This window comes from Homo sapiens, chromosome 1 (assembly GCF_000001405.40).
Source record: "Homo sapiens chromosome 1, GRCh38.p14 Primary Assembly".
Taxonomy (NCBI): Eukaryota; Metazoa; Chordata; class Mammalia; order Primates; family Hominidae; genus Homo; species Homo sapiens.
Window position 1 is genome coordinate 183,554,644 of NC_000001.11, and position 25,009 is coordinate 183,579,652.

At 46.6% G+C, this 25,009-nt stretch overlaps 1 protein-coding gene across 11 annotated transcripts in view, besides 2 other annotated features; it reads right to left on the reverse strand.

Moving 5' to 3' along the window:
• NCF2 (neutrophil cytosolic factor 2) overlaps positions 919-25,009 on the reverse strand; it is a 46,288-nt gene continuing 22,197 nt past the window's right edge. For 5 of the 11 annotated variants that reach the window (XM_047421222.1, NM_001127651.3, XM_011509580.2 and 2 more), the window contains 13 exons: positions 22,956-23,064; positions 19,844-19,978; positions 18,542-18,649; positions 16,137-16,196; positions 14,499-14,542; positions 12,561-12,702; positions 12,277-12,345; positions 11,061-11,136; positions 9,362-9,387; positions 8,791-8,942; positions 8,552-8,663; positions 5,453-5,630; positions 919-1,587 (listed from right to left, as the gene is read on the reverse strand). In XM_047421222.1, the coding sequence (XP_047277178.1) occupies positions 1,475-1,587; positions 5,453-5,630; positions 8,552-8,663; positions 8,791-8,942; positions 9,362-9,387; positions 11,061-11,136; positions 12,277-12,345; positions 12,561-12,702; positions 14,499-14,542; positions 16,137-16,196; positions 18,542-18,649; positions 19,844-19,978; positions 22,956-23,064 (1,324 nt within the window). In that variant the 3' untranslated portion in view covers positions 919-1,474. The other 6 variants (NM_001410895.1, XM_005245207.2, NM_001190794.2 and 3 more) reach the window with 5 other exon arrangements.
• Positions 13,100-13,159: an enhancer, noted in NCBI's record as "active region_2215". NCBI's record gives its function as "activates an Ori minimal core promoter by ATAC-STARR-seq in GM12878 lymphoblastoid cells {active_cell/tissue: GM12878}" and the evidence as "EXISTENCE:reporter gene assay evidence [ECO:0000049][PMID:35858748]".
• Positions 16,488-16,653: a silencer, noted in NCBI's record as "fragment chr1:183540266-183540431 (GRCh37/hg19 assembly coordinates)". NCBI's record gives its function as "represses an EF-1alpha promoter that drives an FKBP-Casp9 reporter gene in an ReSE screen in K562 erythroleukemia cells {active_cell/tissue: K562}" and the evidence as "EXISTENCE:reporter gene assay evidence [ECO:0000049][PMID:32094911]".

Sequence of the window (25,009 nt, forward strand, 5' to 3'; positions counted from 1 at the left end):
CCAGTGATTGGTAGCTTGCTGGGTCTTCCAACTGTGTGCTGGAAGCCAGTGGTATAGCTAACCTTAATGCCTGTGTGCTCACCCTGACCGGCTATCCTTTCACCTGCATGTTGATTCAGTCTGCAGTTCACTTCCTTATTCTGCTTTTCACAGGCGCCTGCACACTTGAAAAATTGTTAGCAAAGCTCCACATACGCTACAACAAGAAGTGGGTAGGGAGAGGAACTAAGGCCAGGCCTTAAGGTCTAATAGTTTAGTTAGTTACAGAATCCTTCACCCAAGTTAATCCTGAAAAATTGGACAATTGGGTTAGCCAAATCCATAGCATTCTGTTATGTATATTAGTATAGCATAGTATATGCAGTCATTTACCATATAACAATGTTTTGGTCAACAATGGACTGCATATACAATGATGCTCCCATAAGATTATAATACATTTTTGCTGACCTTCTCTATGTTTGTTTACACTGATGATACTTACTTACCATTGTGGTATAGTTGCCTGCAGAATTCAACATAGTAACATGCTGTACAGGTTTGTAGCCTAGGAGTAGTAGGCTATACCTGGTAACCTAGCTGTGTAGTAGGCTATACCATCTAGTCTTGTGTAAGTGCACTCTAGATGAGTTTGCACAACACGTTTCTCAGATCATGTCTCCATTGTGAAGCAGTGCATAACTGTATTACGAAGTGTCAGCTAACAAGATACTACTTACGAACTAGCTTCATGAACACCGCTGCTTTTCATCACTTAAATGTTGGCGATTGATATATATTCAGTATTGAGTTCTTAACACATGTTCCTCTCTGAGAATGTACAAAGGTATGTAATTCTATTAATTCTCTGTGGAATTGAGTGTTGTAGTCCATGAGAACCTAACTCAGTCTAGGTTCTGTTTAAGCAACAAGACATAATGAAAAAAGAAAACAAACAAGTTTATTTGTATATGCCTTATGAGTAACCTATAAGGTTACTTCAAGCCTTAAGAGCCAATTACAGTAATGGTTCAGAAACAGGAATATTTGTACTTACTCCTTGGGCCTGGACTTGGGTGTCTTGTTTTTGTAAGATGCTAGGTTTTTTTTTATTGTGGTATGACACAGAAAAGTGCACCAAATGTACAGCTTGATGAATGTTTACAGTGTGAACACAGCTGGCTAGCTAGCACTCAGAGCAAGAAACAGGATCAGTACCTGGAAGACTCTCTCGTGCCCTTTCCAGACACTTCCATCCACTTTTCCTCTCCCCTAACTCCTCCATTCACCTGTCCCCATCTCCTCACCCACTGTGCCCCAGGAAATCATCCTGGGTACTCACATCATTGTCTAGTAGGTTAAATTTTAACAGGGAATAAATAGTTAACACTTCCAAACTGTAATGTCTCAGTACAGTATACAGCAGAAGGGTGCTAAATCTTACAAACAAGTAATAGGGCTTCATTTTCTTCAGCTTTGTAGTTTGTGAAACATCCTAGACTTCTCTCCGAGTGCTTTCCAAATCTGTAGTTGCGCAGTCTTCAACAAAAACTTTGGGGAAAATGCCCACCTTCCCTTTGCACTCCCCTTCCAGCCATTCTTCATTCACTGATAAAAGGAAAAGTACACATGGATTTCTAAAACCACTGTAGGAAGATTACCCTGTCTGGCTATTCCACACAGAATTTGTTATCTGTCACCCTTCCCCACCCCTAATTGTGATCAACAGGGAAAAGACAGTATTGCAAAGTGGTTTGAGAGTGAACACAGGGTTTAACCATCTTATTGATCTGTCTTAAACATGATAATGAGCAAAATGAAGAAGGATAAATTATGTTTTTCAAAAAGTTACCAGATAGAGAAGAAGGGTCAAAGAAATTGAACAACGAATCCTTAAATAGAATTTCTGTCCTTTCCCCACCCCCAACCTTGACAGGGTCTCACTGTCACCCAGGCTGGAGTGCAGTGGCACAATCTGGGCTTACTGCAACCTCTGCCTCCTGGGCTCAAGTAATCCTCCCACCTCAGACTCCCAAGTAACTGCAACTACAGGCTGTGCCACCACGCTTGGTTAATTTTTGTATTTATTAGAGACAGGATCTCGCCATGTTGCTCAGGCTGGTCTCAAACTCCTGGGCTCAAGTGATCCACCCAACTCAGCCTCCCAAAGTGCTGTGGTGATAGGGGTGAGCCACCGTGCCTGGCCCAATTTTTTAAGAGAGGAGAGAATTTTACCTGCGCTTTGTTGGGAATCTTTGTTTTGACTACAGAAAAGGGACATGCCATTGGTTAAATATATTAAAAATGAAAGTTCTTTAGTAAACTTTCTTCTTTTCACTGAACTCCATTAAACAGGTGAGCTGGAGCTAGTGATGGGTTAGTACATGTTTGTTAAATATAAATATTTTAATAGCTCCTACTCAGAGCCTTTAATAGAGTGCAGGCATTGTACTTAAAAAATATATTCAGACTTCATAATAACTTGTAGGTATCCATATTTTACTAAGGAAAAGGAGACCCAGAGAGATGAATAGTTTGTTCAGAGCCATTCTGCCAGTAAAAATCAGACAACTTAGGTATGATCTCCAAAGCCCACCTACCTGACCACACAGCCAGTTCAGAAGTTTGTCTTTGTACATCTAGATCAGACATTAAGGCACTGGTGCCTGGATCCTGCCCCCAGAAATTTTGCTTTAATGTGTGGTGTGACTGGGCAGCAGTTTTTTCAAAAGTTCCCTTAGGTAATTCTAACTGCAAATCACTGTCTTGATTCTTCTTACAGGGTAGGTCGTGGACTGGAAGCATATTAGAAATGAAAAATCCCAGATCCAAACCAGAGTCAGAATCCATTTAGGAAGATTCGCAGGTGATTCACATGCACATTAAAGTTTGAGAAACACTTTGTAGATGAGACCATCTCATAACTTGAATGCAATTGAACTCCCCTCTGTCCTACCCTGACCGCTAAATTCTGTTTTCTGTTGAAGTGCTACAATATGGGTATTTCCTCAACTTAGACTTGTACAGATAGGTCATAGTAAGACGCATACTGGCTTCTCTCCATATCTACCCAAAAGGTTGTTTTAGTGTGTTCTTTCATTGTATTCCTGCTCCCTCTCCCAAACTCCAGACAATTGAGCTGGTTGGTTGATTTAGGCACCTTTAAAGTGGCACTTGGAGGTGTTCAACCCAGTTCTTCCCACTGAGTTACCATTCTCTCTTGTTGGAACACTCTGCTTCTATATTACTACTACTCATATTTTTTTTTTTGAGACAGAATCTCACTCTGTTGCCCAGACTGGGGTGCAAAGGTGCAATCTTGACTCACTGCAAGCTCCATGTCCCTAGTTCAAGTGATTCTCCTGCCTCAGCCTCCCAAGGAGCTGGAACTACAAGTGCACGCCACCACGCCTGGCTAATTTTTTTATTTTTAGTAGAGATGGGGTTTCACCATGTTGGCCAGGCTGGTCTCAAATCCTGACCCCAAGTGATCCACTCACCTTGGCCTCCCAAAGTGCTGGGGTTACCAGCATGAGCCACCACGCCCAGCCTATACTACTCATATTTTTAATTAATTGCTACACACTTGTTGTATACTCTCTCTACCCCCATTAACTTTTTTTTTAATTTTAATTTTTTTGTTTTTGTTTTTGTTTTTTTTTTGAGACTGAGTCTCACTCTGTAACCCAGGCTGGAGTGCAGTGGCACAATCTCAGCTCACTGCAACCTCCTCCTCCTGGGTTCAAGAGATTGTCCTGCCTCAGCCTCCTGAATAGCTGGGATTACAAGCACCTACCACTATACCCGGCTAATTTTTGTATTTGTAGCAGAGACAGAGTTTCACCATGTTGGCCAGGCTGGTCTTGAACTCCTGACCTCAAGCAGTCAGCCCACATTGACCTCCCAAGGTGCTGGGATTACAGGCATAATCCACTGCACCCGGCCTATTTTTATTTTTTTTAAGACAGAGTCTCGCTCTGTCACCCAGGCTGGAGGGCAGTGGTGCAATCTCGGCTCACTGCAACCTCCACTCCCGGGTTCAAGCGATTCTCTTGCCTCAGCCTCCCTAGCAGCTGGGACTACAGATGTGCATCACCACGCCCAGCTAATTTTTACATTTTTAGTAGAGATGGGGTTTCACCATGTTGGCCAGGTTGGTCTTCAACTCCTGGCCTCAAGTGATCCACCACCTCAGCCTCCCAAAGTGCTGGGATTACAGGTGTGAGCCACCAGGCCCAGCCTACCCTCATTAACTTTAAAATTTCCCCCTCTCTTTGTCTGTTGGATTTTCTGTTATAATTGATGGTAGTTTTTCACTGCTTTGCATTGGTAGTGCACAGACTCAGCGTATGAGCAGGGCTTTTATGATGGGACTTTTTTGTGTCGAGGTAGAGAATTAGGCTGGCAAACCACGAGTTGGAATGGTGCTTCTTAAGAGTGTAGGCAGTAGACCAGCATCACCTGGAAACTTGGTAGAAATGCAAGTTGGTGGGCCCCACCCCAGACCTGAATCAGAATCTCTGGAGGGTGGGCCCAGGAATTGATTTAACAAACTCTTCCAGGGATTCTTAGAACTCTCCACTTTTAAGAGGTGGGTCTTGCTGTGTTGCCCAGGCAACAGCCTTGAACTCCTGGCCTCAAGTGATCCTCCTACCTCAGCCTCCCTAGTGGCTAGGATTACAGGCATGCTGTTTCAATTTTTAGTCTGTTCATTACAAACAGAATCAAGAAAGTCACCAGAGACACAGGATAGTTCTGAATAGCTGGTTTTTAAGGCAAAATTTACCTACTTTTCTCTTTGAAAAGTACATTAATTCAAAGAACTATGGTTTGCAGAAGGTCATACAGCTTGATGCAAAGGCAAAGTGATTCCAGCCCAATTTGTTACCTCTGGGAATGAGAATCCATGGTTTCCAAAGCATACTCCTCTTTAATAATCAAGATGTTTATCGCCGGCCAGGTGCGGTGGCTCATGCCTGTAATCTCAGTACTTTAGGAGGCCGAGGCAGTTGGATCACTTGAGGCCAGGAGTTTGAGACCAGCCTGGTCAACATGGCAAAACCCCATCTCTACTAAATACACAAAAATTAGCTAGGCATGGTGGTGGGCGCCTGTAATCCTAGCTACTCAGGAGGCTGAGGCAGGAGAATTGCTTGAACCCAGGAGGGGGAGGTTGCAGTGAGCCGAGATTGTGCCACTGCACTCCAGCCTGGGCAACAGAGGGGGACTCTGTCTCAAAAACAAAAACAAAAACAAAACAACTCAGCTTCTTGTTGCTTTCCTGGCTACTAGAGCAATAGACAGGGAAAGTCTGAGTGCTCAACTTTGCTCCCTCCAGCTAGATGCTAGGAAGGGGGTTGAAAACACTGGCTAAAGTTTTGTTTGTAGATTATTGATATTTTCTTCTCTCTGCCCTTGACCTTGTTTCTGCTAACATGTAAATTTGTTTCTATAGTCTTGGAGTAGCACTTACCCTTTGATAACACCAGGATTATATCCCCTTCCTGAAACTCCAGGTCCTCTGGTTGGGTAGCCTCATAACTGAAGAGTGCCTCCACTTGGCTGCCTTTCTTAAGCTGAGGTTCTGTTGTCTGGTTATTAGCATCAGCTTTTTCACTTTCCTTGGGTTCATCTGGAAAGCCTTGGTCACCCTGAAATAATAAAGGGCCTGTTAATTTTCCCAATTTCCTGCCAAGTGAACACTGAACATCACTAAAGGAAACAGCGAAATGTCAAAGTAGAACCTGGGATATAAACTCATAAAGTTTGTGATCAGTGCCTTGTGTAGAGCTTATATGCTCTTTATGAATACTGGATGGTTGGGTAAATCAGTCCCCAACCTTTTTGGCACGAGGGACCAGTTTCATGGAAGACAGTTTTTAGATGAATGGTGGTGGGTGGTGGGTTGGGGGGTGGTTTCAGGATAAAATTGTTCCACCTCAGATCGTCAGGCATTAGATTCTCATAAAGAGCATGCGACCTAGATCCCTTGCATGCACAGTTCACAATAGGGTTCACACTCCTATGAGAATCTAATGCTGCTGCTGATCTGACAGGAGGCAGAGCTCAGGCCAGTATACCTGCAGCTCACCTGCTGTGCAGCCCTGTGCTGGCCCGTGGCCTGGAGGTTGGGGACCCCTGGGATAAATGAAACCAAAAGGTCTGCAAAATCATATACAGTCTTAAAATATCTTACTGAAACCTTACAATAATCTTGAGACAGGTAGAATGGGCATTATTATTTCTTTACAGATGGGGACAGAGCCCTAAGTCAAAACTGGCTTTCTTAGCATCAACTCTAACAGCAACACTAGGGACCTTGTTAGAAATGCAGACTTTCAACTCCATCCCAAAACTACTAAATCAGAAACTCCCTGAAGGTGAATCCTGCAATCTGTATTTTAAGTCCTCTAGGGAATTCTGATACTTGCTAAAGTTCAAAAACCACTGCACAATGCCATACTTGTTTTATCTGTAACAACATTTCTTATACATCTTAGACTTATGATCTTAGACTTCTTCCACATTATTGTCACTTTTGCTTCACAAATGAAGGAGAAGGATGCGGTTTCTACAGATGTGAATCATAGAATTTAACAAATCAACATTAGAAATGCTGCTAGGCTTGTATGTACCGAGCATTATAAGTTCTAGCTTCTTAATGTTGTTTGTTGAACGTTGGTATATTTTTATTGAGAGGCAATACAATGAGGTGGAAATGGCCCTAGAGAGTCCACAGAGAAAGGTTTGTATCCCACCTCCACTGCTTACCAGCTCTGTGTCCCTAAGCAAGCAGTGTAACTTCTCAGAACCTCAGTTACCTCACCTGAAATTGAGGCTAGAAGAATTCAATGAGATGACATACAATAATAGTAGTTGACATTTATTGAACACTTACTCTGTGGCAGTACTCTTCTAAATATGTATAAATATTTAGACTTGGTTAATGGTAAGTGTTCCTGCATAGAGTAGATGCTTAATAAATGTTAGTTCATTTTATTTTTCTTTCTTTTCTTTTCTTTTTTTTTTGTATTTTTAGTACAGATGGGGTTTCACCATGTTGGCCAGGCTGGTCTTAAACTCCTGACCTCAGGTGATCTGGCCCATCTCGGCCTCCCAAAGTGCTAGGATTTCAGGCATAAACCATACCAGGCCTCTTTTTTTTTTTTTTTTTTTTTTTTTTTTTTTTTTTTTTGAGGCAGAATCTCTCTGTCACCCAGACTGGAGTGCAGTGGTATGATATCAGCTCACTGTAACCTCCGCCTCCTGGGTTCAAGCAATTCTGCCTCAGCCTCCCAAGTAGCTGGGACTACAGGTGCACACCACCACACCCAGCTAATTTTTGTATTTTCAGTAGAGATGGGGTTTCACCATGTTGCCTCAGCCTCCCAAAGTGTTGGAATTACAGGCATGAGCCACTGCGCCTGGTTTTCTTTCTCCTAGTAAGTGAAAGCCTGCTTTGTTGCCTCCAAAAGTAATGGATAGTGATAAAGAACATTCAACAGTGACTCCTGAGCCTGGATTAAATTGCAAAAGATTGTGGGGAGTTGTAAGAGGGTTGGCTATGTGCAGCCACCAAATAGATTGAAGCTGCTGTCAAAGGAAAAAATTTTAATTAAAAAAAAGTTTAAGTGAAGTAGTTCACATTTAGAGCAGAACTCCTTCTAGGAAGAATCTTTTAAAAAAGATGCTGAAGGGGTTAGTCCAAAGACAGACAGCTGGAAAACCTAGAGTGACTTTTCAGACTTCCAAGAGACCCCTTACACTCACACTCACTCTTACCCCCAGGATCCTGGGGCCTTTTGTCTCAGCCAGAGACACCAGGGAGTCTCATCCCCAGTGGCTGTATTTCCTGAAGGCAATTTTCTGAACGGGGAAGATACCTTAAACAGCTTTATACACTGCCCTTTTCTAGGCTCATTCTCTTTCACTCTTCTTCTCCCAGCTCATGTCTGTAATCCCAGCACTTTGGGAGGCCGAGGCAGGTGGATCACAAGGTCAGGAGTTCAAAACCAGCCTGGCCAAGATGGTGAAACCCCGTCTCTACTAAAAATACAAAAATTAGCTGGGTGCAGTGGCAGGTGCCTGTAATCCCAGCTACTCAGGAGGCTGAGGCAGGAGAATTTCTTGAACCTGGGCGGCAGAGGTTTCAGTGAGCCAAGATCACACCCAGCTTGGGCGACAGAGTGAGACTCCATCTCAAAAAAAAAAAAAAAAGGTGAAGAATGGCTATGAGCTGAGCCTTAAGCTATGATATGACTTCATTCCAACCTTGCTTGACAGTAATGGATGGGATGTTTGACACAGTCAGGCAGGGAGCTGATGGAGGGGCAGGAGGCTTTCTGTGAGCTCCTGCCCTGCTGGGCCTGCTGTTCTCTTGTGGGAAACTCTCTCCCTGCTGCAAATGGGGTGAGGATGCAGGTAAAAGGGAGGCAGAGCTGTGACTTATTACACACCATATCCCCAACACCACATATAGTGCCTAGTACACAGAAGGTGCTTGATAAATTTCAAATTGTTGAGGAAGTGGCTCAGTGGAAATGTAACTTTAGATGCCCCTCATTGCACTCACCACTGTGTTCTCACACCACAGAGTCAGGCAGTAGTTTTTCACCTGGCCCCAGGCATCCTTCATGCTGTCTTCTGAAAGGGGCACCAGCTCATTGCTGTCCCGAGGCCGATAGCTGGGTGGGGATAATGAGTAAGAATCCAGTCAAAGAACATCATCACAAAAACCATCCTCCTCTTCCCTCCTCCAGGCCAGCACAAGGTTCCCACTGTACCCCTCACAGCTGCCTGCATGGAGCTCACCTCAGCTTAGTGTGTTCCAGCCGGAGCTCCAGTTTCTTAGACACCATGTCCCGGACCTGGCTGTAGGGGAGCCCGGGCTGAGTCTTCATGACTACCGTGTACTTGTAGTGCACCTTGAGTGTGTAGGGCATGGGAACACTGAGCTTCACTTCCTGAGTGGGGAGGAAACAAAGGGAACTCCTGAGTGTCTGAGGCTTTCTCTCAACATCCTGGATCACCGCAGTTTCGTGATTTGGCACAGGGGGTACCCAATACAGCAGGGGAGAGGCCAGTAAGTAACTGGTTTCACAGTAGCCTAAAAGGCCTTCAGAGGTCCTTTAGCCCAACCCTTGCTTGGACAGGAATTCCTACTGAGTAAGATCTGGCCCACTAGCTTGGGTAGTAGGAAGTGTGTGCATGATAGTGGAGGAGGCTATTAAGAAGGTCCCTAGCTCATGGACTCTGTAAGGTAGCAACTGGTTCGACCCTCCCTTTGGGGCTCTTCCTATAATCCAGACAGACATGTCTGTGGTTGATAGCCCAAGCTATCCCATCTTCTACCACTTGAAACAGTATGAGGGAAAAATGTTACCTTAGGCTCTTCTTTTTGTTTCTGGCCTGAATGGAAAAAGTAGGGAGTAAAACAAAAGAAGATGGTGAATGAACATCCTTGGCCAGCCCCTGCCACACACAGATGAAACCTCTTCAAATAGGGCCCCCAACCTCTTACCCTTTAATTTGTGGGGCAATTATTAACCTTAGTAAACTGTGGGGAAAATCTCGCCCTGGGGAAGCATGAAGGTCATGAACACATGAACAAACTCAGTCTCTGCTTCTAGGGAGCCTATAGGTAATTACCAAAGGACCAGCATATCCTCACCAACCCACAAGGTTAGCAGGGATCCCAAAGGTCAATTAAGCCCACGGGATCCAAAGCAATGAAAATCGGAGTGCAAGGTGAGCCAGAGGCCACAGGAAGAAGTATTAGAACCACTGATCCTCACCTTATTCTTTATTTTTGTGTATGTTTCCTAAAGTTTATTAATTTAATCTAATCTATTAATCAAGCAATCTAATATTAATCTAATTTATGTAAGAGTAGCATGCATAAAGATATTTACTATAGGGGGTACATGATCAGAGAAGGCCACTGATCTCAAACCTAGCTGATCATTAGAATCACATGGGAAGTTTTTTTCTAAAATACAAATTCCCGAGCCCCATTCCAGTCCTAAAATATCAGAGCCAGTAGCCTAGGACTCTGTATTCACAAAATCATCCTAGGTTTATATGTGATCCTTGATGAGCCTCTAGACAAAAGATAACAACAAAAAACCTGTCAAGGACATTGAGCAGGAGCAACGGGAGAAATTTGAATATGGAATATACATTATATAATACTATCATATGAATGTTTAGTGTCCTAGATACCATGATTCTATTGTGATTATGCAGGAGACTGCGTTTTTGCAGCTGTGTAGGGTGAAGTGTCACGAGTCTGTAACTTTTCAACTGGCTCGGGGGAGAAAAATAGAATGGAGCAGGGCGAGTTCATGGTGCAAAATGTTAACAATTGGTGAGTTTAAGTGAAAGATATTCTGATGTTTATTGTATTCTACTGTCAGCTTTTCTGTAGGTTGGACATTTTTCAAAATAAAAATGGGGGAAGGGACATCCCGAGTGATTCTGATGATCAGGCGCGTGTGGCAATCATTGATCTAGAATCTGGCCAACCACTCACTCTGCGTCTCTACCAAGCGCTTATCCAGAATCTGCTTCAAGTGCACTTCCCAAGACAGCCCTCTCCACACTAGGAAACAGCCTTTCAGAGAGAACATTTCCATTTCACATCTGCCCATTGGTTCTTTGTTCATCCTCAGGGCTCCACAGAGCAATTTCTTTTCCAGATACAGTGCCTCAGACATTTGAAAACAGCCACTCCATGCCCCTCAGAGATAAGCAGGTATAGTTACTTCAACTTTTCTTCCTGAGACATCGTTTCCCTACCTAATGATCAAGGGGTTTGGTGACTACGTGAGTCACTCAGGAACCAGCTGCATTCACCCAAGCCCCGTGAGTGTTCTGCAGAAGGCAGGGAGAGAGGGCACTGATTTCATGTTTGGGGTGGGTGGTGCAGGAAAGGGGGATTCTGGGGCTGCGTGGTCATTAGCTGAGTGACATGTTGGGAGAAGAAGAAACCAGAATTTCCTGGAAGGCAGGGAGAGGAACTCAGGAAGCAGCCTGGCATGCTGCTGCACCCAGACCTAGGCTGTGGCTCCAGGACCACTCACCTGGTGACAGCTGGGGTCTTCCAGGGGCTTTGGAACTAGGAGGAGCTGGGATGTCGGACTGCGGAGAGCTTTCCTCCTGAAGGCAACAGGGAGCGACGGTCAGAACCTTCATTCAAAGTTCCCAGGCAGGGGTGGATGTGGGGAAACACCCCTACAGAGACCCCATGTAAAGGAGCCACATGCAGATAACGTCCTAAAAGTTGGAATGGTAGTGACATTTGGGGAAGACGAAGGAAATGTTGGCCAAAAGAGGAGGTGGAGTTGGCCTGATGAAAATGAAAATCACAGTAGAAAGAAGAATCCTAACCCGCTAAAACGCCCTTGCCGCTTTAGCAACTCTTTCAGCCATATTGGAAATCCACTGGCCGTGGGGCAGGACTGAGCTCTTGTCTCCACTGCAGAGGGCATTGAGAAAGGAAAAATTCCACTTCTCATTTGCAAGGCATTTGAAGCTTTTCAAAGCATTTGGATATGGTGACTGACCAGGGAGGGCTGAGCTCATATACAACTGGTTGCACAGTCTAGAGACAGACAGTCTCCACTGCCATTGAGTCACTTACAGGGATGCTCAGATCTGACAAAGACAGCTCTCTAGGCCTGGCAGAAGGACAGACTTTTGAAGTGTGAGGGAGGGAGTAGCAGCAGTTTAGAAGCAGTGGCTGGCAAGGCCCACTCTGATTCAAAGCTCTAAGGCAGATCTCATTTTATTATTTTTATTTGTATAGAGGTGGCATCTCTCTATTTTGCCCAGGCTGGTCTCGAACTCCTGAGTTCAAGTGATCCTCTCACCTCAGCCTTCCAAAGTGCTAGGATTACAGCCATGAGCAACTGCAGCTGGCCTCATTTTCTTTCTAATGGCATTGTACCAGCCAACACATTGACTACTCTTCCACGTGAAGCAGACACACTTGGGAAGACCTAACCCACTCATATACTGTAGGCTTTGCTTCCCAAGTGACTTCTGACCAGGAAGAGTCACAGAGGTGGGTGGGCCCAATGGGACCTACAGATGCCTCCAACTTAGCACATCTGGGCTTTTTTCCCCTCATTCCCAGGTTCAGCTCTGGGTAGCTGGTGCCATCTCAAGGCGGGCTCAAGACTAGTGAATCTTTCTCCAGGGGTCCTGACAACACCTCTTTTACACTGCTTTTCTCCCCTCCAGGGAGAGATCCCTAAAGGGTGAGAGGAAATGGGTCAGGCCTTGGCATCACATTACCTGGGGCTGCTGCTGAGGGTGGATCCGCAGCTCAACTGGTTCAAGGTAGTTGCAGGGAACAAGCCCCTTCTGCAGTGCAGCACCACAGAATCAGAAAGGAAAAAATAAAGATGTGCTCATCAGTACCCACACCACAGAACAGCCCAGAGTCCTGGGGAAGGGATGACGAACAGACAAAAGAACTTGGCTGGTCTGCAAAGAAGGCAGCAGATACTGCTCCACAGAGACTGCATTTGCTGCCAGGATCCCATGCCCATCGCACCAGCCCCTGATCCTCTGCATACCTGCCCGTTGAACATGACCGTGGCCCAGTTATCATTGCCCTTCTTCAAGACAAAGACAATGTTCCCTGGCATGACCTGGAGCTCTTCTTTTGTCTCAGGCACAAACCCAAATAGCACACGGTGAGCCTCCCCTTCCAGAGCCCTGCAGAGGATAGACACAAGATCCAGCCCCCATCCCCTCACATGATGCCATGGCGCAAATACACTGAACTTGGAGCCAGGGACTTGGCTCCAGCCTGGCTCTAACTCCACATCTAACTGCAACTGCCGAGATGACACTGAGCCTGCCTGGGCTCCCAAGAGGTCTCAGCAAGAAACTGGTGTACACCTGCTCATAACCATATATGCAGAGGGGCAAGAATAAAGCAAAAACCCCACAACACTAGATAGTGAGGACTTACAATCCTTGCCCTCCCTTCTGCTCTGAGGAGGAAGGTCCCTGGCTGTGTCATCTTGGCCAGCACCCAAGGCTGGGCTGGGGTGGGGTGGATCAGGTGACTGTGGTCAGGGGAACAGCACAAAGCAGAAGTCAGGTGAGAGCCAGCTGGGCCAGAAAGATTGGTGGGAGAGGAGGAAGGAGAAACCACCTAGAACCAGTGTTGGGCCAGGATAGAGAGACCGTGAGCAGGGTAGGTGACAGGGAGCGTGAGGGATGCACATAGAGGGCTCTGAGGCTGCCCAGCTGCCGTGGTGCAGTGTCGGTTCCCTTAAGTCTGACTTCATGCTTTTAGGCTTTGAGGCTCTGATTGGCATCACTTTGGAACGTGTGACTGAGAGGCTGGTGTTCAGGTTTCAGGCTTCCCTCCCTTTACTCCCCACTCTGTTACTTTCCCCTCGGCCCATCCTTGTTTCCAGACATCGTGCCTACTCCTGTAGGGAATACAGGCCCTTCCAGCTGACAGGGAGCTTAGGAATGAGCTCATCCAGCCCCCTCATTTTTGTAGTTGCTTTGGTACTTTTGTCACTTTTTTTTTTTTGAGACGGAATCTTGGTCTGTTGCCCAGGCTGGAGTGCAGTGACATGATCTTGGTTCACTGCAACCTCCACCTCCTGAGTGCAAGTGAGCCTCCTGCCTCAGCCTCCCAAGTAGCTGGTATTACAGGCACATGTCAGTCACCACACTCAGCTAATTTTTTCATGTTTAGTAGACATGGGGTTTTGCCACGTTGGCCCGGCTGGTCTCGAACTCCTGATCTCAAGTGATCCGCCCACCTCAGTCTCCCAAAGTGCTGTGATTTCAGGCATGAGCCACACACCTGGCCAATCACTTTTTAAAACCTCCTTTTTGGGTGGGAGGACCAGGCTTGCTTCATCACTTTGAGAGAATTCTTAAGAAAGCTGTAGGTTATGTCACCCTTTGTTTTTCATCTTACAGAAGAAGGACTTCCTTTTCTTCAGTCCTTCCTCTTTACTTCTTCAGAAAGCATGTGCCGATAGGGAGTGGAAAACATCCACACAGGAAAAAGGACGTCATTCTAGATTCCTGACTCCAGAGAGCTCTGGCCTGCCCCCGTCAGAGGGGACTGCAGCCAGTGCGAAACCGATCTCCAACCTGAGGTCAGCATCCTGGTCCCCAGGGTAGCTATGTTCCACAGAACACCACTGCCCCTCAGCAACAACCCCTTGCCATGTGGGTGGCTGTGCACGTGGACAGAGGGCCAATGGGACACCACGTAGCTGCAGCCAAGCCCTGATGGCCAGCCCCACCACAGTCAAGACTCCCATCCCCATCATATCATTCCTTTCTAGCCTGACATTCTAGAAGACATTCTTCTAGGCATTCCTTTCTAGCCTGACATTCTAGAAGAAGCCTGACATTCCAGAAAATTCAACAAGATTTAGACCCTGACCCCACCTTCATCTTCTTCCCTCCCTTTCTTGCCATCAGCTCAGGCTTGGCGCTTGGATATTCTATTTATGGATTTGAATCTAACTTACCTGAAGATCTCTGGGGTTTTCGGTCTGGGTGGAGGCTCAGCTGCCTATTGAACATTCAGGAGAAGTGAAAACGGAAAAGGCAATGAGGGAAAGCAGGGGAGAGACAACAAACGGCTAATGGTAATTTGAGCATTCTTCCAGACCAGAAAATCAAATAACGCATTTCTGACTGATGAGAACACTGTCTAGGAAGAGGGCACAGTCACCCTGACTAAACACTGGGAAATAACACCTCCCACCAGCTCCCCAGGTACAGGTTTCACTAGCACAGCAATTCATTTTGAGCCAGAGCTAGTTTCTGGAGGTTAGCAGTCACACAGCAACATGGTGTCACAAGAATGCTTTGACCTTGAGCTCTGTCCTTTTCCCAGGACAGTTTCCAAAAGCTCTGTTCTGTAATTAATGTCTACTATGTCACATGACACTTCTGAGTATTTTTAAATTAATTTAAAAAAAATTTTTTTTGAGATGGAGTTTCACTCTGTCGCCCAGGCTGGAGTGCAGTGGCGCGATCTTGGCTCACTGCAACCTCTGCCTCCCTCATTGAGGTGATTCTCCTGCCTCAGCCTCCCATGTTGCTAGAATTACAGGCATGTGCCACCACACCCTGCTAATTTTTGTATTTTTAGTAGGGACAGGGGTTTCACCATGTTGGCCAGGCTGGTCTGGAACTCCTGGCCTCAAGTGATCTGCTCACCTCAGCCTCCCAAAATGGTGGGATTATAGGCGTGAGCCACTGTGCCTGGCCACTTCTGAGTATTTAAAATTGACACAGGATCCACTGACTGGGCAAGAATCTCCTCCCCTGTTCTACACTGAATACCATGGAATCCAGTTACCTGGGCTGCATTCCCCTCATGGCCTCTGGCTGAACTGAAGCTCAAGGGACTTCAGCAAGGCTTTCATCAGCTTTATTGTGAAGAAAGAGATCAAGGAATCTAGATCTGGAACATACCTGCCCCTGCTCAGAAAACCGCCCTCTGCTAGTGCTGACCAACACTCTTGCCCATCACAGGTTCATTGCCACAGAGTTCGTATTTTCCTTAATGTGTTTTCCCCTCTTTCCTTCACAAGGAAGCTCTGTGTGCATTTCTAGATCCACTATCATCCAGTTCATCTGAGCTCACCTCTCCAAGCCCAGCTTGGGCAGAAAAAGGGTTCACTCTCAGTGCGCTGCCTGTGTTCCCGAAGGAAACCCCTGCACATGAGCAGATGGGTAGAGCCAGGAGAGCCCAAACCTCAGGCCCAGGCCCCACAGGGTTCCCCACTTGCCCCTGTACTCAAGAAGAGGCTTTGTTAATAAGCCTTCCATAGCTTGTGTTTCAGCTTCCTGAGAGAATAGTTGAGGCTTCAGAGAGAGGATCAGCAGATCTCTTTAGAGATGTGAAGACCGGCATTTGTGGGGAAGCAGGAGAGTTAGCTTCAGAGGACTTGGGGTGAAGCCTGACACTGCCTTATTTCCTCACCAGCCATGGAAACCAGGACTGAGAGAGGGCAGGCAGATCCCTCAGCTGCACTGAGGGCCACTTGAAGGAGCCCTTACAATCAGGCAACTCAGCACACATAGTCTCTCGAATTGAATGCTTCACAGAAAGCTCTCGAGACCTAGGTCCATGGAGAAGGTCAGGACTGCCTTACCTGTGGTTGCAGAGGGGCAAACCCAGAGAAACTGTCTTGATCCACCACAGATGCCACGACCTAAAATCAAGGACAGGAGGGTGTGAGGCTCTGCCAGCACTGTTTCCATTCTTCTGGGTCTCCCTCTTTGCTCATGCCCTAGACCTGTTCTTACGTGAGCCTGGTTTCAGACGTGGACAGTAACTAAGGATTAGATTCCTGAGCCTCTGGATTAGGATTTCAGCAACTGAAGAAACGAGCATTCACCCCACCCCTGCTAACACAGGCTTGCTTTCTTCTCTCTTAAAAAAGAAATGTTTTTAATTGAGGTGCAATTTGTATAACATCAAATTATCTTTTTTTTTTTTTTTTTTTTTGAGACGGAGTCACGCTCTGTTACCCAGACTGGAGTGCAGTGGCGTGATCTCAGCTCACTGCAACCTCTGCCTTCCAGGTTCAAGTGATTCTCCTGCCTCAGCCTCCCGAGTAGCTGATATTACAGGCACCCGCCACTGTGCCCGGCTAATTTTTGTATTTTCAGTAGAGACAGGTTTTCACCATGTTGGCCAGGCTGGTCTCAAACTTCTGACCTCAGGTGATCTACCCATCCAGCCTCCCAAAGTGCTGGGATTATAGGCATGAGCCACCACGCCCAGCCCAAATTAATCATTTTAAAGTGAATGATTCAGTGGCATTTATCACATTCACAATGCTGTGCAACTACTGCCTCTCTCTAATTCCAAAATATTTTCATCACCTCAGAAGAAAATGCTGTACCCATTAAGCAGTGTGTCCACACTCCCCTTTCCCCTAAACTGGCAACAACCGGTTTGCTTTCTGTGACTGACTTGAGCCCTCTTCTCTGAGTTTTAAAAATCAGATGTAAAGCTAGCTTTATTCACAAATATGCTTAAACTATAGATAATTTTCATCATTCATTCATATAATCAAAACATTTTTGCTGAGAGCTGTTATGTGTCTAGCACTGTGCCAGGCTGTGAGGACTCAGTGGAGATCAAGCAGACATGGTCTCTGCTCTCTCAGTGCTTAGAGGCTGCACCAGATATTTCCTATAAACGGAATTGTACAACATGTGGCCTTTCGTATCTGGCTTCCTTCACATAGCATAATGTTTTCAAGGTCCATCCATGTTGTATCATGAATCATACTCCATTCCTTTTTATGGCTACGTAGTATTCTGTTGCATGGATATATCACATTTTGATTACTCATTCATCAGTTGATAGATATTTGGAGGGCTTCCACTCACCCAGGCTTTCTTGACCTCTGCTGCTATGCTAGACCCAGCTACCCGACCACTGGGCAACTTTAGCCCTATGAATGTGTCAAGTCAAATGTGGTTTTGGAAGGGCACTGCTGACTCACTTCAGACCATGTCTGAAAGAATTTAAGACTTGGATTTATTATTATTATTACTATTTTGAGATGGAGTTTCATTCTTGTTGCCCAGGCTGGAGTGCAATGGCATGATCTCAGCTCACTGCAACCTCCACCACCCGGATTCAAGCGATTCTCCTGCCTCAGCCTCCCAGGTAGCTGGGATTACAGGCATGCACCGCAGCACCCAGCTAATTTTGTATTTTTAGTAGAGATGGGGTTTCACCATGTTGGCCAGCCTGGTCTTGAACTCCTGACCTCGTGATCCACCTGCCTCAGCCTCCCAAAGTGCTGGGATTACAGGCATGAGTCACCATGCACAGCCAAGACCTGGATTTAGAAGAAGTCCAATTTAAGACATAGTCTAAACATAGGGCTGTGGAAGTGGGGAAAGACTCCTCAGCCCACTAAAACGTGAACTACAAGGAGCATTAATCCAAGAGGATCCCATGCTGATCTCTTTCCCTAACATGTTCTCTTCATATTTATTTTTATTTTTTAGAAACAGAGTCTCAATCTGTTGCCCAAGCTAGAGTACAGTGGTGCAATCATAGCTCACTGTAGCCTTGAACTCCTGGGCTCAAGTGATCCTCTCACCTCAGCCTCTCCACTAGCTAGGCTGGTCTCAAACTCCTGGCCTCAAGTGATCCTCCCACTTCAGCCTTCCAAAGCACTGGGATTACAGGCATGAGCTACCCTGCCTGGCCCTCTCTTCACATTTAGTGAGCTCCTCATGGCTGTGTTTTCCCTCCATTGGCTCAGTCCCTAAGACTCAGCATCCTGTGAGTAACCCTGTGGCTCTCACCCAGGGTCGAGCTGGAAGGGAGAAATGGGAGCAGCTTGGAGAAAATAAACTAGACATGGTTGCCTATCTTTCAGCCAAACCTCTGTCCTATAAACAAGTCTCTCATTGCCATCCCAGGGACAGAGCCACAAGGAGGCTACCCTCTTCTCAAGAGTCCCTCCCACCTTGCTCCACATGGCCCGGGCCACAGGAGACTCAGGGGAAGCTGAGCAATCCCACCTACCGTCGCCTTGCCTAGGTAATCCTTCTTGGCCAGCTGAGCCACTTGTCTCTCATTTGGTCGAAACAGCTTGCCCACAGGGATCACCACTGGCTCATATAGCTTCTGCTTCTGTAACACAGAAAACGTAGCATTCCCTTATGTGAAAATGGGGGTGACGATGCTTGTCCTGCCTCCCTCAGTGAATAGATGCAAGAATTCATTGAGATAACCACATAGAAGCCCTTTTCCAAATGAGTGTTGTCATTCCTCTAGGGTGTTAAGGTAGGAACCCTTGGTTTCAATACCACCTTCTGCTGCGAGGCCACATGGACATTGCTGCTATTTGTTGCTATTCAGCACCCTCTTTTCCCAGAGGAACTGCTCCTCTCCCACTCTGTGTGCTGTCCGTGGGGTTCTCTCATGGTGTAGAGGGCACCACCACGACAAGGCTGGCCCGGGATCAAGCAAGGCTCATGACAGTGCTCCCTTGGATGGGTGTTTGCTGATGAGGATAGACATATAAAGACTGGCTTGAGTCCTCTTCTCTGTGTTTTAAAAATCAGATTTAAAGCTAGCCTTATTCACAAATATGCTTGAACGATAAATAGTTTTTATCACTCATTCACAAAATCAAAACATATTTTAGGCAGGTGCGGTGGCTCATGCCTGTAATCCCTGCACTTTGGGAGGCCAAGGAGGGCAGATCACCTGAGGTCAGCAGTTCGAGACCTGCCTGGCCAACATGGCAAAACCCCGTCTCTATTAAAAATACAAAAATTAGCCAGGCATGGTGGCATGCACCTGTAATCCCAGCTACTTGGGCGGCTGAGGCAGCAGAATTGCTTGAACCCAGGAGGCAGAGGCTGCAGTGAGCTGAGATCACACCACTGCACTCCAGGCTGGGCAACAGAGCGAGACTCCATCTCAAAACAAAACAAAACATTTTTGCTGAGAGCTGTTATGTGCCTAGCACTGTGCCAGGCTGTGAGGACTCAGTGGTGATCAAGCAGACATGGACTCTGCCCTCTCAGTGCTTAGAGTCTGTGCAGCACTGCTCCAGCATCCAATATCCTGTTCTCCTGCATTGCCAAGGAGCCCCACTCCAAGGGTGGTGTGATGCCAGGGCTCTGCCATCCCATACTCTAGGCCTCAGCTTCTCAGCACAGATTCAAGATCTTAAGTGGAACTATACCCTAAGATCAGTGTTACCCAGACTCACAGAAAGTAAAAGCACCACTTTTATGGCTTCTCAATGGCATGTCCTCTGAGACAAATGAGAATCCAGTGACATCCTCTCAACACCTGCATCACCAATACGCTTACCCAGACACACTCCATCGCCTTGTCGATTTTGGAATGTCTGGGCTCAGACTTCATGCTCGTGGCCAATGCTAACTGTTCTTCAGCTTTTTTCCATTCCTCCTTCTTGGCATACATGAAAGCAATGTTATATAACACCTAGAAAAGTACAGACCGCAACATAAAACTTGAGACTACTCCAAATCAAGGTGCCAGGGAAAGGCTCACACGTATACTCTGAGAATGTTGCCTGGTAGCCTTTCTCCCTTTCTCAGCTCTCCTGGGAATATCTAAAATATAGTGCAATTAGTCTTGCTATTGAGTTATGTCAAACACAAACATGGTGTTAAGAAAACACCATGGAATGCGTAAATGCAACATCATTTGTACTCTTCCAACAACGAAATAGGTCAGGAAGGGACAAGAATTATTGTATACAGTGTGTTCAAACCAGGTTAAAAAAAAGAAGAAGAATTGTTGTGTTGTTTTAGTATGAGTTGCTTTAGTAAAAGAGTGACTTGCTCAAGGCCCCTTCTAGAGGCAGACACAGGGTTGGGAATAAAATACAGGTGTGTGGTCTTCCAGTCCACCTCCTGCCACTGTACCTAGGCTGAAACACTGGACAGGTACAGAGCCGGAAGATGGATCAAGATGCAACCTCCTGTACCAGCACCAGCAGAACCTGGCCCAGACCATGTGAGTAACAAGACTAATGTAGCAACACAGGCCAGGCGCAGTGGCTCATGCCTGTAATCCCAGCACTTTGGGAGGCCAAGGCGGGTGAATCACTTGAGGTCAGGAGTTTGAGATCAGCCTGGCCAACATGGAGAAACCCTGTCTCTACTAAAAATACAAAAATTAGCTGGGCATGGTGGCAGGCACCTGTAATCTCAGCTACTTGGAGGCTGAAGCAGGAGAATTGCTTGAACCCAGAAGACAGAGGTTAGCACAGAAGCCAGGGGCACCTTCACCTCAGGTGGGGGGGGAATGGTAAATGCAACAGTGTCATACTTTTCCAGGTCTTGAGTTGGGCTGTGGTTCTTGAGTGTCTATTTTACTATTGTGCTTCACAATTTACACACAGAATCAAATAATCGTTTGGATGCATTACCAAGATCTAAAAAATGGCCCGACTGAAATAAATTTTTTAAATAGGATATTATGGAAATTAGGGGGTGTGACATTTGAGGCTAGATTATAAAAGACATTGACACTGTCTTGCTCTTGGGTCACTTGCTCTCAGAGACGCCAGCTGCCATGTCATGACAAGACTTAGGCAGCCCTAGAGAGAAGTTCATGTAGCGAAGAACTGAGGCCTCCTGCCAACAATGACGTGAACTTGCCAAACTCAGACAGGTGGAAGGATTGATGTTTCTGTGGCATTAGTGGCTGGTGCTGAATGGTGGGGGCCAGGATCAACCCCGGAAGTGGAAATCTGGACTCCTTTCAGTCCTATTTCTGAGATTCAATGAGCTACTGCCTTCTGAATTCGTTGGCTTCTCCAGCCCACTCCTGACCTTGTGTGCAGAAAGAAAGAACTCAGATCGTTTAAAATTTCCTATTTGGTTCTCAGCCACCTTCTCTTAAGACATTTCTCTACAATCAGTTTTTATGAACTAATGATGAGAAAAACCTTGACACTCTTCAAAAATAATGATGTGATTCTCAGAAGCCAGGGTCATACCACATCAGGAAGAGAAGGATTATAAGTAGGGAAATGACTGGAAGGTCCCATGTGACAAAGAGGGCCTTAGACCCTGAAAAGTTCAGCTTTACTTGCAGAGAGGGCCACTCAGCCAGTATTTTCTGTCCTCTCAGGGCCATTTTAACCCCAACTCCAGGGGAAACATTCCTCCCATGGAACTGTACTTTGATGCTGCTGTGACATAATCCTTTTTCTAGAGCCACTTGTCCCCCAACTTTCTAATCTGTATAAGTGGCTGTCATTGGCTTATTAGCAATGTCTGGAGGGATTTTAGGTTGTCACATTGGGTGGGGAGTGGTGGTGGCAGTGCTAGTAGCATCTAAAAGCTAGAGATGCCGTCAAAGTTCCCACGATGCGCAGGACGCACCACAACCCCTCTCTCGCCTCTGCTACAATACAAGATTGTCTGGTCCAACATATTAACAGAGCTACAGCTGAGAAACCTTACTCGAGAAGTTGGTCGAATGGCAGCCAATTCCAACTGCAAAGCCCCATCTTCTCAGACTGTGAGACGTGAAGTTAGTTGCTAGCCTGCTGCAGGGTTGGGATGGGGCCATATGTCCCCAGGGGCCGAGGGCGGCTACAGACTCTATTATTAGCCCTGAGCGACCCTGGGAACACTTGACTTCTTGTGCCTGAGAAACTAAAGCAAGGGGACTTTTGTCAGTGATTTTTCTAAAGAAAGGTCTTTGACATTTACAGGAATTTTGGTTTTCAAAACTGCTAGTATATATTTGGAAGTGGGAGGGGTGGGAAGGGCCAACCGGAAAAAGTAAATGAACCTGCAAAGTCAAAGCCAGTCATGTCTCTCCCTTTTGATAATAGAGAAAAGAAGTTGTTTTGCAGAAACCTTTACCTAAATATGTGCCTTGAGCTGTTCTTTGAGCAAGAGGGGACAGATTTATGCCAAATTATCCTCAGTCTCTCTTTAGGTATCAATCAAGTACATGGGGTAAGAACCATGGATAGTAAAGAGTGTGGTCTATAAACTTGGGAACTGAGCAAGCTTCTGGCAGGTCCTGCACGGACAATGAACTCATGATTTTGGATTTGCTAGCAAAATGCTGAACAAATAGCTTGTCAATCTGAAGTGCCAATCAAAACATGCAAATTATCATGAATATTTCCACAAGCCAACACACTCGTGTCCAGCCTCCCTTCAGAGAGCCCGGGGGGCTCATTTTTGCATGGTCCTTTGCGCTTCACATTAATAAAATGTATGCCCCCAGGTAACTGATGACAATGCCTTGATGAGCCTGAAATAATCCATCTCAGTCTTTTCTTCAAGGAAAATCTGAGTCTCAAGGCAGAGGAGGCAAAATGGCTTTTCCAAGCTCCTGGAGGTGTCAACAGATCACTGTGCATCTGAACTGTCAGCCATCCATCCAGCCATGATCCCCTCCTGCCCAGGCCAGGCCCTGTTCTCCTTACCTCACAGGCAAACAGCTTGAACTGGAGCCCCAGGATCTTATAGTCTATCAGCTGGTTCCCTCGAAGCTGAATCAAGGCTTCTTTAAGGTCTTTGATAGCCAAATCATATCTGCAGGACAGAGGGAGAAAATACAGCAGTCTAGTGGATGGAGAAATAAATGCAGCATAAAATGTGAGTCTGCTTCTCCCTTCCCCATCTATTTCACTGGGACAAGAAGCCTTTCAGTTCCTTTTGACCTGTTCTAGTTTTCAGCAACCCTGAGTCCAAGTATTCTATACAACTCCTTGGGAATGGTGTTCCCCCCAGGGCTGTGCCTCAAAGCAACCCTGAGTGCCTCGTCTTGGACAGTCACAGGGAGTTTCTTCTCTATTGACTGCATACAACTGTCACCTTTCTGACAACCTGACTTGTCGCTTTCCGATGCAGCTCTCATTCTCTCTTGAGAGCTCCAAGCAGAGCCAGCACCTGCCCCCTGCCTGTGTCCCTGCAGAGTGTTCAGAGCTGATTTGGAATACTGCTCACTCCTGGCTCCCACCATCAGGCCAGGCCAGCCTGGCACAGCTTGGAGGGGCCCCTTCTTATAGCTGCCACCATCACCCTCCTGCCCACTGCCTTCGCCCATGGCTTCTTTTGAGTTCAACTTAGAGCTTGGTTTTGTGGTCTTCTTTGTTTCCTCACCGCCCGCCACTTCTGCCTCCTCCCTACACTTTGGAAAAGAAAAAAAAACAACCACTTATGCTATATAGTATTTCCTCCTTTTTTTTTTCTTTTTTTTTGAGACAGGGTCTCACTGTATTGCCCAGGCTGGAGTGCAGTGGTGGGATTTCAGCTCGCTGCAAGCTCCACCTCCCAGGTTCAAGTGATTCTCCTGCCTCAGCCACCTGAGTGGGACTGAGCTGGGACTACGGGCGAGCGCCACCACGCCCGGCTAATTTTTTATATTTTAAGTAGAGACCAGGTTTCACCATGTTGGCCAGGCTGGTCTCAAACTCCTGACCTCGACTGATCTGCCCGCCTTGGCCTCCCAAAAGTTCTGGAATTACAGGCATGAGCCACCATGCCCAGCCCCAGATAGTTTTTCTAATGCTGCTCCCACTGCCTTGTGCTGCTGGATTGGCGTGGAGCTGACTGGCTCGATGTATACCAGGGCTGCTGTCCTGGGACTTGTAGCAGAGAATGGGAGCTGACCACATCAATAGGGCCCACAGGCATGTAGGTGGGACCTGGACACACACTTCTGAGGATGCTGGCCCAGGCCTTGACCATGGGCTCCACAGAGGCCCTGGTGGGAGGGAGCCATTGCTGGGCTATAGGGGGTGGGAGCAGCAGGCATAAGCTACGCCAGCCTCACTCCACTCAGTCCCCTGACCTGGCAGGAACAAATTTGGCTGCCTGGTTGTGGCTCACACCTGGGCAACTGGACTGTAAGTCTGTAAGTCCCTAGGCCACCATCTGACCCAGAGCTACCAACCCGGCTTCTCTTGGAGATAAGCCTGGAATGTGGACACAGGCTGGCAGGAATCCTCAAGAGGCAGTGTGATGTAGTAAAGGGGCCAGGAGCCAGAGTCCAGATCCAACAGCTCTGCCACTAACTGGGGGACCCTAGCAAGTCACTTTCCTGGCCTGAAGTTCCACACCAATATTATGGCAGCATATTGTATACAGGGACATATTATATGCAAAGAATGTATCATATAGGGAGCTTGCCAGCATATGGATCCCACTTCTGGAGTCAAAACCACCTGGTTTGAGTCTTGGCTCCGTCACTTACTATCTGGTGAGAAACGGCAAGTTACCTAGCTTCCCTAAGTCTGTTTCCCCATCTTTAGAATAAGAGAATAATAAGGCCGGGCGCAGTGGCTCACGCCTGAAATCCCAGCACTTTGGGAGACCGAGGCGGGTGGATCACGAGGTCAGGAGATCGAGACCATCCTGGCTAAAATGGTGAAACCCCATCTCTACTAAAAATAAAAAAATAAAAAAATAAAAATTAGCTGGGCATGGTGGTGGGCGCCTGTAGTCCCAGCTACTCAGGAGGCTGAGGCAGGAGAAT